The sequence below is a fragment of the Homo sapiens genome, chromosome 10 (assembly GCF_000001405.40).
Source record: "Homo sapiens chromosome 10, GRCh38.p14 Primary Assembly".
Classification (NCBI taxonomy): domain Eukaryota; kingdom Metazoa; phylum Chordata; class Mammalia; order Primates; family Hominidae; genus Homo; species Homo sapiens.
The window spans coordinates 99,371,214-99,383,906 of record NC_000010.11 but is presented as its reverse complement, the minus strand read 5'-3'; the positions used below and the strand labels follow the sequence as shown (position 1 = coordinate 99,383,906).

The window sequence follows — 12,693 nt, the reverse complement described above, 5'->3', positions numbered from 1 at the left end:
CTTCATGCATTCAACAGCCACATGTAACTAAATGGCTGTATTTATACATGGCTACTGGCTGCTGTACTGGATGGTGAAGGTTTAGTGGACGGCCTAAACAGCTGTGCCCAGTTTCGATGACCTGGCCTCGCAGGGCCAACAGCACTCCCACTACTCACCAGGACAGAACCACTGGTCCCACCCAGCTTCTCTCTCTACCCAGTCCCTCGAATGCGCCATGTCTACTTGCCTTCCATACCTGTTTAAGGGTGTCCCTTTGCATGGCATTGCCTTAATTCTCCTCTTGTTCTTTCCAAACTCCTAAAGTACATTCTCCAGCCAATTAGTGCTTAAAAAATTCCAGATAGTGGCTCACACCTGTAATCCCAGCACTTTGGGAGGCCGAGGCGGGCGGATCACAAGGTCAGGAGTTCGAGATCAGCCTGACCAACATGGTGAAACCTTGTCTCTACTAAAAATACAAAAATTAGCCAGGCGTGGTGGCGCATGCCTGTAATCCTGACTACTCAGGAGGCTGAGGCAGGAGAATCGCTTGAACTCAGGAGGCGGAGGTTGCAGTGAGTTCACTGAGTTGAACTCAGTGAGGTAGAAGATCACGCCACTGCACTCCAGCCTGGGGGACAGAGTGAGACTCCGTCAAAAAACAAAAAAAAATTCCACATAATTTTGTAATGAATTAGATAGTACCCTGCATTGGTCACTATTATTTAACTTACCTTAAGCTTCCTCTCTCTAACTGGTCTTAATCTACTTATAAGGCAGAGGATATATTTTTATTAGATTTATATTTCTGTAGTATAGCTCATGGCACCCAGAACCATTGTTAATGCTTAACAAATACTTATCAATTAGTTGACTGAGGGAATCAAGCCACTTTTCAACAGACTCCATGTTTTTGTTTCCTCTTCATTGCAGTAGATATAACCATTTATTAGCAACAGCTTTAGTTCAAATTGTCTTCTCTTATAGAGTGGCCAGTTTAGAATCCAATCACCCACTAAGCTACAAAGGAAGCGGAGGTCTGTTTATTCTGAAAGTAGTGAAAAGCAAGGGTGGCTTTCTGGACTTTTTGACTTAGCAGCCAAGGTGTCCAGAAGTTAACCTTTAGGCTAATGTGATGTCTCCTGTCATTTTATTTTAGAGACAGGGTCTCACTCTGCTGTGCAGGCTGGAGTGCAGTGGCATGATCACAGCTCACTGTAACCTTGAACTCCTGGGTTTAAGCAATCTTCCTGCCTCAGCCTCCCAAGTAGCTGGGACTACAAGTGCATGCCACCATGCCTGGCTAATTTAAAAATTTATTTTTATAGAGATGGGGGTCTCACTTTGTTGCCCAGGCTGGTCTCACACTCCTGGCCTCAAGTGATTCTCCTGTCTCAGCCTCCCAAAGTGGTGGGATTACAGGTGTGAGCCACTGCACCTGGCCTCCTATCATGGTATGATGTTGTTTTCACTTTCAAGTGGTTTATTCATCCCTGAAGACACAATGCTGCAATCTAGGGTGATGAGGAATCTTGGTCAAGGTTACGTAGTCCAGACTGTAAGACATCTGCCAAGTAGTCTTAGCTTAATGATGACACAGAACACATTTCAAAAAACTTACTTCATAAGAATTCTTTGGTACCTTCATAACTTATTAACTACCATTAATCATGGCTTTGTTTAACACCTTTCCCAGATAACTATTAGATGCACCTTTCTATCTCATTTTGTAACTTATCTTGAAGTTCAATTACTCCTGGACTTAATTCTGGACCTTCAGTCTGTTGGATATAAAAAGCCCTTGAGAAACCTTCCAGCAGCCAACCACAGGGGCTTCGCCCTGTGAAAACACTCATCTTGCAGTCTTCTCTTTAGCTTCCCCCAAAACCCTCATGTTAAAAAACACAATAACAACAGAAGGAAAGATGGGGAGAGACAGGTGAGGGAAGTAGATAAATGAGTGGCCTAAATAACGTCCCTAACACAGTCTAATCAATCAGGAGGAGGTAATTTTCAAAGTTAATCTAAGGCAGAATCTTATATTAAAAAAAAAAGAAAAGAGAAAATCAAAACAAAAAAGACACTTGTGTTAAAAAAAAGAGCTTGAACTCACAGAATTCCTTTTTGGAGAACTACCCATTTTAATCAAAGTTTTTTTTTTGTTTTTTGGTTTTTTTTTTTGAGACGGAGTTTCGCTCTTGTCGCCCAGGCTGGAGTGCAGTGGCGCCGATCTCGGCTCACCGCAACCTCCGCCTCCTGGGTTCAAGCAATTCTCCTGCCTCAGCCTCCCGAGTAGCTGGGATTACAGGTGCCTGCCACCATGACTGGGTAATTTTTTTATTTTTAGTAGAGATGGGGTTTCGCCATGTTGGCCAGAGTGGTCTTGAACTCCTGACCTCAAGTGATCTGCCTGCCTCAGCCTCCCAAAGTGCTGGGATTACAGGTGTGAGCCACCGCGCCTGGCCTAAAGAGGTTTTTGAATAACACTCTTTTTTTTCCTTTTTTTTTTTTTTTTGAAGACAGAGTCTCACTCTTGCCGCTCAGGTGGAGTGCAATGGCCTCGGCTCACTACAACCTCCGTGTCCTGGGTTGAAGCGATTCTCCTGCCTCAGCCTCCTGAATAGCTGGGATTACAGATGCCCACCACCATGCCTGGCTAATTTTTCTTGTATTTTTAGTAGAGACAGGGTTTCACCACGTTGGCCAGGCTGGTCTGAAACTCCTGACCTCAGGTGATCTGCCCACCTCAGCCTCCCAAAGTGCTGGGATTACAGGCGTGAGCTGCTGCACCTGGTTGAATAACACTTAATTGGTTTCCACCTTCTTCTCAACTTCTCTACTTCTGACATTTAGTCTTCTTGATTTCAAAATATCCAGGTGGAAAGAAAAATCAAATTTTGTGCTGCTCAGCTGCACTGATTGCAGCAAAGTCTTCTGTTTGGACAAAAAGGACAGACACCTACACCCGAGAACTGACCTGGGACTTGGGGTTTTCAACACTGAAACTATCTCATGTTGGGAAACAGACTTTTATGTTCCTTGTGATTTGTAGAATGTTCCCTTTCCTTATGTTCTAGGGTTGGAGATATGAGATCATTGGCAAGTTTTGTTTTGTTTTCTCTTTTTTTTTTTTTGAGGCCGAGTCTCCCTCTGTCACCCAGGCTGGAGTGCAGTGGCACGATCTCAGTTCACTGCCACCTCCGCCTCCCAGGTTCAAGTGATTTTCCTGCCTCAGCCTCCCGAGTAGCTGGGATTACAGATGCCTGCCACCATGCCTGGCTAATTTTTGTATTTTTAGTAGAAACGGGGTTTCGCCATGTTGTCCAGGCTGGTCACAAACTCCTGACCTCAGGTGATACACCCATCTTGGCCTCCCAAAGTGCTGGGATTACAGGTGTGAGCCACCGCACCCAGCCCATCGGCAAGTTTTAAGAAAATCCTTACAAACCTAATGCTAGGTGATCATCTTAGCACATTCCTCTGAGGAGTTGCCAAATCCATCTCCTGAAAGTACTGTCCAATCTGTAAAGCCTAATGATGTTTTGCCCATTGAACATGACTCTTCAAAATCTCCTTCACTTTTCTACTCCAAGCAGCAAACCAAATCTTCATACTGATTTTCTCAACTTCTGATATGAATGGTTATGGACTGAATGTTTGTGTCCCCTCAATATTCATATGTTGAAATCCTAACCCCAATGTAGTGGTATTAACAGGTGGGGCCTTTGGCAGGTGATTAGGATATAAGGGTGAATTCCTCATGAATGGGATTAGTGCCCTTAGAAGACGAGAGCTTGTCAGCACTTTGGGAGGCCGAGGCAAGAGGATCACTTGAGGCCAGGAGTTTAAGACCAGCCTAGTCAACCCAGTGAGACCCTGTCTCAAAAAAAAAAAAAAAAAAAAGAGAGAGTTTACTTCCTTTCTTTGCTCTCCACCATGTGAGAATACAATGAGAGGTAATCTGCAAACTAGGTAGTGAGCCTTCATCAGATGCTGGATCTGCTGGCACCTTGATATTGGACTTCCCAACCTCCAGAATGGTGAGAAATAAATATCTGTTGTTTAAGCCACACAGTCTATGGTAATTTGTTACAGTGGCCAAAACTGACTAATATAAATGAAAAGAGAAACAAACTTAAAAATTCTGGCTGAGTGCCGTGGCTCATGCCTGTAATCACATCACTTTGGGAGGCTGAGGTGGGAGGATCGCTGGAGGCTGAGAGTTTGAGACCAGTCTGGGAAACATAGTGAGAATCCTGTCTCTACAAAAAAAAAAAAAAAAAATCCCGCCACACTTAAAGTAGAATCCAAATTCCTTACTATGGCCTAAAGATACCAGGTGATACCACCTGTGATGCTACATTCTCATGGAGCCTCTGCCTTTGCACACCATGGGCCGGCACTCAGACCCTTAAACTACAAGCTCCTTCCAGCCTCTGTTGTTTCCATCTTGAACATTCACCCCCTCCCCTTTCAAGTCTCAGCAAAAATGTCCTTTCTCGGCCTGTCTGATAACCATTTCAAGAGCAGTCTCCTTGCCTTCTCTGCCCAATCACTGATCCCAATTACCTCTTTATTTCCTTCACAGCCCTTATTATTACGACCCGAAATTACCTAGGTTATGTATGTGGTTGTTGTCTTTCTCCCTCATTAGCCTGTGAGCTCCCGAAGGGCAGCAGCTTGCTGTCTTCACCACAGTATCTCAACAGTGCCAAGAACAGAGCAGGCCTCCATTAAATATTTGTTGAATCATGTAGTCATACTATGATTTTCCATTTCTTTCCCCACAGATCACATGTCCAACACGAAAACCAACCAGACTTAACATATTAGAGTTCCTCTTTTCCCACTTTTTCCCTACTTCCCCTTCTGGGGAAGGTCTGCATTAGCAATGAGAAGGCTTCTGGAAGCTATGAGGAGCAGAATCGTGGGCTATGATTTTCTAAGGTTTAACCTCCTTGTCACATTAGACTTAAGTGTCCGCAGTCATATGCACCCATGAGCATTGCTCGGTCAGCTCGTAAAGGCACTTCCCTGGGGTTCCTTTAGCTCTGATGTCCTGCCGCTCACTCTAAAGCCCACTGACTTCAGGGCTTGGATTCTGGAGGCAGAAAGACCCAACTTTGAAGCTTGGCTGTGCCATTTACTAGCCATGGGACCCTATACTCCTCAAACCTGAACTCTTCATCTAGAAAATGGGAATGACAGCAATACCTACCTCATAGGGTGGCTGTGAGATTAAATGGATAATTCAAACAAAGGACTCAGTAAAGTGCCTTGCACAGTTTACTGCAAAAAAATAGTTATTGTCTCACCCCATCCCCCAGGTTCCATCCCTCCCTCTGGCAACATTCCATGGTTACTTTTCAAGGTTACTTTTATAGGCTGATGTCAGTTTTAACTCAGGGCTGTCCACAAAGTCCTGAAACACAGAAAACCGGCCAGCACACACCCCTCTCCAAATAATGAAGGCGTGCGTTCTGGAAAGAAGGACCTTCTTCCACCCTGGTGATTTCAGTGCACCTCTCATGACCCAGCCTGCAACTGTGCAACAGCTACCAAGTGAACCCACTGGGTGTTCTGCTGGCCTGGGATAAATGGGGCTCTAGCTAGATCTCAGGACAAAGTTTGTCATGGTTTGCAGAATACTAGGAAACAAAACAGGCTGGGCGCGGTGGCTCACGCCTGTAATCCCAGCACTTTGGGAGGCCGAGGCAGGTGGATCATGAAGTGAAGAGATAGAGACCAACCTGACCAACATGGTGAAACCCCGTCTCTACTAAAAACACAAAAGTTAGCTGGACGTGGTGGCACGTGCCTGTAGTCCCAGCTACTCGGGAGGCTGAGGCAGGAGAATTGCTTGAACCTGGGAGATGGAGGTTGCAGTGAGCCGAGATCACGCCACTGCACTCCAGCCTGGGCAACAGAGCGAGATTCTGTCTCAAAAAAAAAAAAAAAAAAAAAGAACCTATGGAAACAAGAGGAAAGGGGAAAATGTTAAAGGCTCCTGTGCAATGCCAATCCCAGTGAGGGGTATGAGGAAATAGCTCCCCTCCTCTTTAATTATGAGGCCATGAGCCTTTTGCTACCTCTCTCCTGGGCAATTGCACATGGTTCTCTTCAAATAGCTTAGTAATTTTCAAGGGGTCTTACTAGTGACTACAAAAGATTTTCAGTTAACACACAGGTCAAGTTGTGTTTTAGACTTTAAGGTATAAAATTATATTATCACATGTAAAAGTATAGCATGGTTTCTTCTTTTTAACCAACAGACAGGCAGATGTATAGCATGGTTTCTTCTACACATCACTTTGTTTATTAATCACCTGCAAACTTATCTTAGAAAAATCTTATCTTAGAAAAACCAATGAATAAAATCAAACTGATGCCAATGGTAGGGGATGCAAAGGAAATGGTTCTGGCAGCAATTTGTGTCAGGCAAGCTAATCTATTGCTTTGTGCCTCATTTCCCCACATGAAAAAAGGGGGTCAGGAGATGTTAAAAGAGTGACAAATAATGAACCGTCCTAAAGCTTACTGAAAACAGCCTTTATACAGCCAGTAGCAGTTACCACCCAGCACTGTATTGGAACACAGGGGAATGGTGCACACATCCCTCCTAGGAATGGGGGTAGTCTTCTTGTCCCGCTCAGCCAGCCAACACTGCCCACTGGGAGGGAGAGGATAACCTTCCTGGGGGAGTTACCTTCACAAACTGCACATCGCTGAGGATGTGGACTGAGTAGTCAGGCATGTAGAGGTTGTTGCTGCTGCTGTACAGCTGGGTGTTGCTGCCCCCAAAGTCACTGCGCTCTCGGTTTGGAGACTCAGAGCGATTCAACCCACTGCAGCGAGAAGGGGACCGGTTTACTGCAGATGGTGAGAGATGGAGAAAAGACAAGGAGGGATGGGTGGGGAGGAAGAAGGGGGAGGGAGGGAGACAGGGAAGGAGGGAGAGACAGGTGTTGTTTACTGAGGTCCCATAAGACTTTCAGGCGATGGTAACACTGGGTGGTGGTGATGGGCCTCACCCTTCCCATCAGAGCCCGGGGAAGGAGCTGAGCTGCTTTGTTGATGTTTATTCCTAAGAGGAACAAATACCTAAGACAAACTCATGGCTCCCTTCCACTCAGCTGCTCCCCACAACCTCTCCCAGTGAGGAGCTGGAGCATCTATTTTCCCCAGACAGGGGGGACGGGTGGTTCACATCTTCCTTGGTTCTTGTCTTCAGGTTAGGTGCACAAGGACCCCGAACGAGATGAGGGCAGTACTACAAGCATGGCTTGCTACCCTAGACCATGCGCCCCTCTACCATGGTGAGGTATTTTACATCAACTCCAATCACAAACCTTATTTTAGAAAGGCCAAGGCCTTGGGTTTGCCCTCAAAACCATCTGTCACAGCACAGACAACCAATCCTCATGTGGCCATACATTTTAGTGGGAAGCATTCAGGCCTGCCCCCACATTGGCAGGGCCTGAGACAAACGGAAGCCCACAAACCAAAAGGATAAATATTTTTAAGTTAGAAGTCACATTGATAAACGGTAAAAATAGGCTTTATCCTCTTCCTTGACAAATGTTCATAGCAACCATGCCAGAAAACAGAGCTGTGGGTGGATAGCCAGCACTGGCCCTAGGGCTTCTGGACCCCTGGTCCCTTAGGATTGTTTGGGTGGGGATTCCAGGATTCTGGATATTGAAATGTGGTTTAGAAGGGAGGACACAGGCTCTGGCTCAGCACATCCCTTTGGCCCTGAGAACTCTTTGCCCCATATAGATGGACTAGACTGAGAAGGGCCAAAGTGTGGGTCTAGGGCTGGGCCCCGTCTTGCATAGGCCTGAGGGGGGCACTGGGATCATCTGCAGGCCTTCTGTCAAAGATCTCCTGAATGCTTAGCCAGGTTCTTTTCACATTTTAAAGAAATACTTCTTGGAAAAGTTCAATTAAGACCATGTCACTTGGTTTTATGTGAGCTGCCCTCTCCAGGAACAACAGAAAACAGGATACCGAAGGTGACTCCAAACATCATCTCAACCGTGGAACCACCCCAAGTGATAGACTGCAAAGCTCCCCCAATCCTTCTGCTTCTTCCAAAAAAGGGGATGAGGAGGCTGTCAGCTTCTCTTAACACAGATTTAGCTCAGGGGCCTCAAATGAAAAATCAGATTCTTTATAGATTCTGCTCTTTCAGGGTAGAACCTTGGGAATTTAATCCTGTCTCTTGAGATAAAGCAAAATATTTGATTAGCCTCTATTTAGAATGAGTCATGGAAGGTTGATGATCTATTTAGCTGCCAAGCTGTTGTCTGGCAAACCATGTAGCAGAAAGAGTAAAATAATAGGTTGAATCATTTTCTCATTAGAACCATAATCATCACTGCCTTGATCTGATTATGGAATTAAGGAGTCCACTTCCAGTCTTCCCCCTTCTCAGTAAGTGTCATCCACTTATATGCAGTTCCTGAAACCAGAAACCCCAGGATTGTCCTTGACTCCTGCCGCTCCCTCAGCCCCACATGCAGCCTTGCGATCCATCTGACATAATGAGCCCATCGGTCCTATCTCTGTCTCCACTCAAATCCCAGCTACCTCAGCCTCACCTGGACCACAGTCTCCCCACTTAGAATCTTATAATCTGTTTTCACCTCAGCTGCCAGAATCACATTTTTAAAACACAAATCAGCTTCCTGTTTTGTCTGAATAAAATCCAAATTCCTTGCTGTGACCTGGCCCCTGCTTTCCTATCTGATCTGATCTTGGGACCTCCTTTCCCCTCTCTTGCTTTGCTTTAGCCACTGGCCTCCCTGGGCATCCTTAACTAAGCAGGCTTTCCCCACCTCGATGAATGCCATTTCCCTTCCCCACCCCACCTCCTCCCGCCTCAGCTAATGGCTGTCTGCTCCTCAGTCACTAGTTCTCAGCTGAGGCACCACCTTCTCTGAAGACCTTGTCTGGTCACCTAGGAAGATTCCTCCTGTTCTCCTCTATCATGACTCCCTGTCCATCCTTTCAAAGCACTTTCACAAGTATTAATTACATATTAGTAACTACTTGTTACATCTACTTAATTCAACTTTTAATTCCATGAGGGCAGAGACCTTGTCTTCTCTGGTTATCCTCATTGTACACCCAGCACCTGGCACAGTGCCTGGCCTAGAGAAGGTACTCAAGGAAAACATGTAGAATAAATGAGTCAGCACGTCAGGGTCCCACAGGGCGATACAATGACTCTTAAAGTTTATAATCTAAATTTGTTTTATAAAAAGGTTTCAGAGCTCTTAAATCATCACAAAGCTAAAGTCATTAAAGCTCTTAAATCATCAAACTAAAGCTCTTAAAGTCACTAAAGCTCTTAAATCATCACAAACCTAAAGTCATTCTGGGGAAGCTGACTTCCCCAAGAAGTAAGGGTGGGGAGCAAGACACTCCAGAAATGTGGCTGGATAGAGTAAAATAGTGTGCAACTAGAATCAAAGGGCATCAAGAAGCCTCAGGCCTTGACCCAGTAACTTGAGGAAGAGGCCACATGGAGCAGCAAGACTGTTTGTTTAATAAGGGCATGTGAAACAAGGGGTCCTGAAGTCAGATGCCCAGGGCCCTACCCATCCACTGTGTGATGAAGGACCAGACCCTTCTCCAGAGTGACTAAGAACTGACGGGGACAGGGACAGTGATGGTAATGTAGAGAACAACATGAAGCACCAAGGTAATTAATTGTAAAAAGCAGAAGAGTTGGGCAGAAAAAGGTACATTTCACTTCTGGGCCTCATTCCTTGAAAACAAACTGATGAGTTCTTAAAAATATAACTACCATTCAAGCCAGAAATCCCACAACTGGGTATCTACCCAAAGGAAAAGAAATTATGTAAAAAAGATACCTGTACGTGTATGTTTCTTGCAGCACTATTCACAATAGCAAAGATACAGAATCAACCCAAGTGTCCATCAATGGATGACTGGATAAAGAAAATGTGATTTTGTATATGTGTGTGTGTGTATGTGTGTATACACAATGAAATATTATTCAGCCACAAAAAGAATGAAATCATGTCTTTTGCAGCAACATGGATGGAAATAGAGGCCATTATCTTAAGTGAAATAACACAGAAAGTCAAAGACTGCATTATTTCCCTTGTAAGTGGGAGCTAAATAATATGTACAAGTGGACATAGGGAAATAATACACATTGAAGACCCAGAAGGGCAGGAGAGGGTGAGGGATAGAAATTACTTAATGAGTACAATGTATACTATTTGGGTGATGGCCACACTAAAAGCTCAGACTTCACCACTATGTAATATATCTATGTAACAAAAATGCACTTGTACCCCCTAAATCTATTAAAAAAAGAAGAAAAGAGAAAGCAAATTGATGAGTTCTGGCTTGGCCAGACCCATTTGTAGCTGTTTTAGGGTGGTGGCTGGATAAGTCTGTGTTCTTTCCTCCAGGCTAGTTGTTGCAGAAAAGCGGGGCAGAGAGTCCTGCCCAAAAGTAGCTTCTTTGGCCCCAGTGCAGCATCTGGAAAACCATACCTTGATCTGGTGGGTTTTGACCTCAACTCAGTTTGGACATAACCAAGGGAAGAGAGTGTGAGCAGGGCTTGTGGCTTCAGCTGCCCAGAGAATCACCACCATTCCTCAATAATCCTCCACTTTGCCTGGCCAGACATGGGCTTCACACACCCTACACCAGTTGTTCCACATCCTCATCTCTTATGTCACAATTCAAGATATGTTCAGGGAAGACAACAGGGAAATAGCCCTATTTTATCTACTAAACTCCTTCCATCCGTGGAAGCTTCTCCTGTTGAAAACAGAGGCAACAGCTACATCCCAGTTCCCTCCAAAGCTCTCATCATTTCACTGGCACCCAGTGTAGATGACACCCACAAGGACTCACATGTCAAACACAAGCTACATCACTATTGTGCTGGGAGGAGGAAAAACATGTCTTTTTTTTTAAAGTAAAAACAATGTTATTGAAAGTTTATTTATAAAATCATAAAGGATTCCCAACACCAAACGATACAATTGTCTTACAAAGATCGAGTCTATAAAAGCAATTTTTAAAAGAAAAAAGAACCTTTACTCCGTGAGAAAGTCCCGGCCCCTCTGAGTATTGCGCAAGATCAATGTTTTCGTGTCCTGGAGTCTGACATTCCTTAGTAGGTTGGATGCTGATGACTTGGCATTTTGGTAATTATGCATATACACTCAGAGGTTTCTGAGCAAGGGACATGGAAATGCTTTTAATAAAAAGCAGAAGAAATCAGTAACAGACGAGTGTCTTAGCAGCATGGCAAACTAGTTCAAGTTGTGTAATTCCCCTTGGCATATCCTAAGAGCACAGAGGCACAGCTTGGGGGAGTGAAGCGAGGAGGAAAATCCTAAGTATAATGCAAGGAGGTCTGGAAGGAGACAGATCAAACAGTATGATATGTGACACCAACCCGGGACCTGTCAGCAGGCAGCAGGCCAAGCAACCAACCCATCCCTTGCCCACTCTTGCTCTTGCATCAGACCCTCAGGTTGGCTCAGGTGTAACCGGGTGATGGGGAGCAGGGTTTTCTGCTCTGTGAAATTGTGGCAGACCTCATTCCTGCAGCCTTTGAGTGGTCAGTCTCTAACAGATATCTGTCCTGGGTTGGCTACTTGGATTGCTGAGGTTTGGGTGGGGAAGGCACTAGGGTAAAATTGGGGGCAGGGTGGCAAAGGGTATGGAAGAGGACTTCACACTGTAATCGGGGCTGGATGGAATCTCCTCTCCTTCTGTAGTAATAGTCAGGGGCCCTGAAAATCTATACACAGCAGCTCTGGGACTCTTGCTTCATTTGTGACACCTGTATCCAGGGAGCCTTCACAACCCTATCCTGGAATCAGACCCCAAGATACAGAAGTAGAATGCTAAGCTCCCATTTTCCCTATGAGGATTTGAGGAAAAAGGAGGGTTCAGGGGTTGCCTGCCTACATCTTTTGTACCATCAGTGAGGGATGAGGGGGAATGGCCTACTTTGGTCTGACTGTGATTGTGCCGTGGGCCATCTCTGTTCTCCAAAATGGATGAGGAAGCTTAATTACATAGACCTGTAAGAGTACCAACTAGAATTATTAAAATTCATTATACTGGGGCAATATTTAGCATCAGACAACCGAACACCAAAGCCAGCTGTCTGTCAAAACTACGATGTGAACTCTAAGCCCAAGTTAGGATCCCAGATGAACTCATTCACTTTACACGGAGCTTTAATGGTTCCCAAATGTTCATCACACAAGAGCCAACCCGAAGGAATATTTCCACTTACCACATTTTGCAAAGTAGAAATATTATTTTTAGAGATTCCCTGTATATTCAAGCAGAAAACTGTCATTATTGATCTCAGTGCACATTATGAATAGATAACCGAGCACTGAAAAAGAACCGTTGGTTCCAAAGTCTCTGTCTCTGTGCTTTTGTGGATTTGAAAGGACTGTTATGGGGAATTCAAAATTATCTCCACCACCAGGAGAAGAAAGAAGGAGTGAATATGGGGAAAGGGAATGCTAATTGCAGTGGGGCTGTGTACTTTCAGGGGAAACCCCTGATCAGAAGTTTCATTTTTAAATGAAAGCACCTGCCAAGTTGGTTAACCACACCACAACCTGGAGGTAATCTGTGAACCACTGTGTTCTTATTTCAAACTAAGGCTCAAATAGAAAGAGACTCCCTATG

General features: G+C 44.8%; 1 protein-coding gene across 6 annotated transcripts in view; it reads right to left on the bottom strand.

Annotated features, from left to right (window-relative positions):
* The window catches only part of CNNM1 (cyclin and CBS domain divalent metal cation transport mediator 1), a 64,975-nt gene that overhangs the window by 10,424 nt on the left and 41,858 nt on the right, over positions 1-12,693 (bottom strand). For all 6 annotated transcript variants that reach the window (NR_144311.2, NM_001345887.2, NM_001345889.2 and 3 more), the window contains one exon: positions 6,689-6,852. Coding sequence is in view for 5 of the 6 variants with exons in the window: in NM_001345887.2 (NP_001332816.1) it covers positions 6,689-6,852 (164 nt within the window). In the remaining variant the exon portion in view is untranslated. The remainder of the gene's footprint in view (positions 1-6,688; positions 6,853-12,693) is intronic.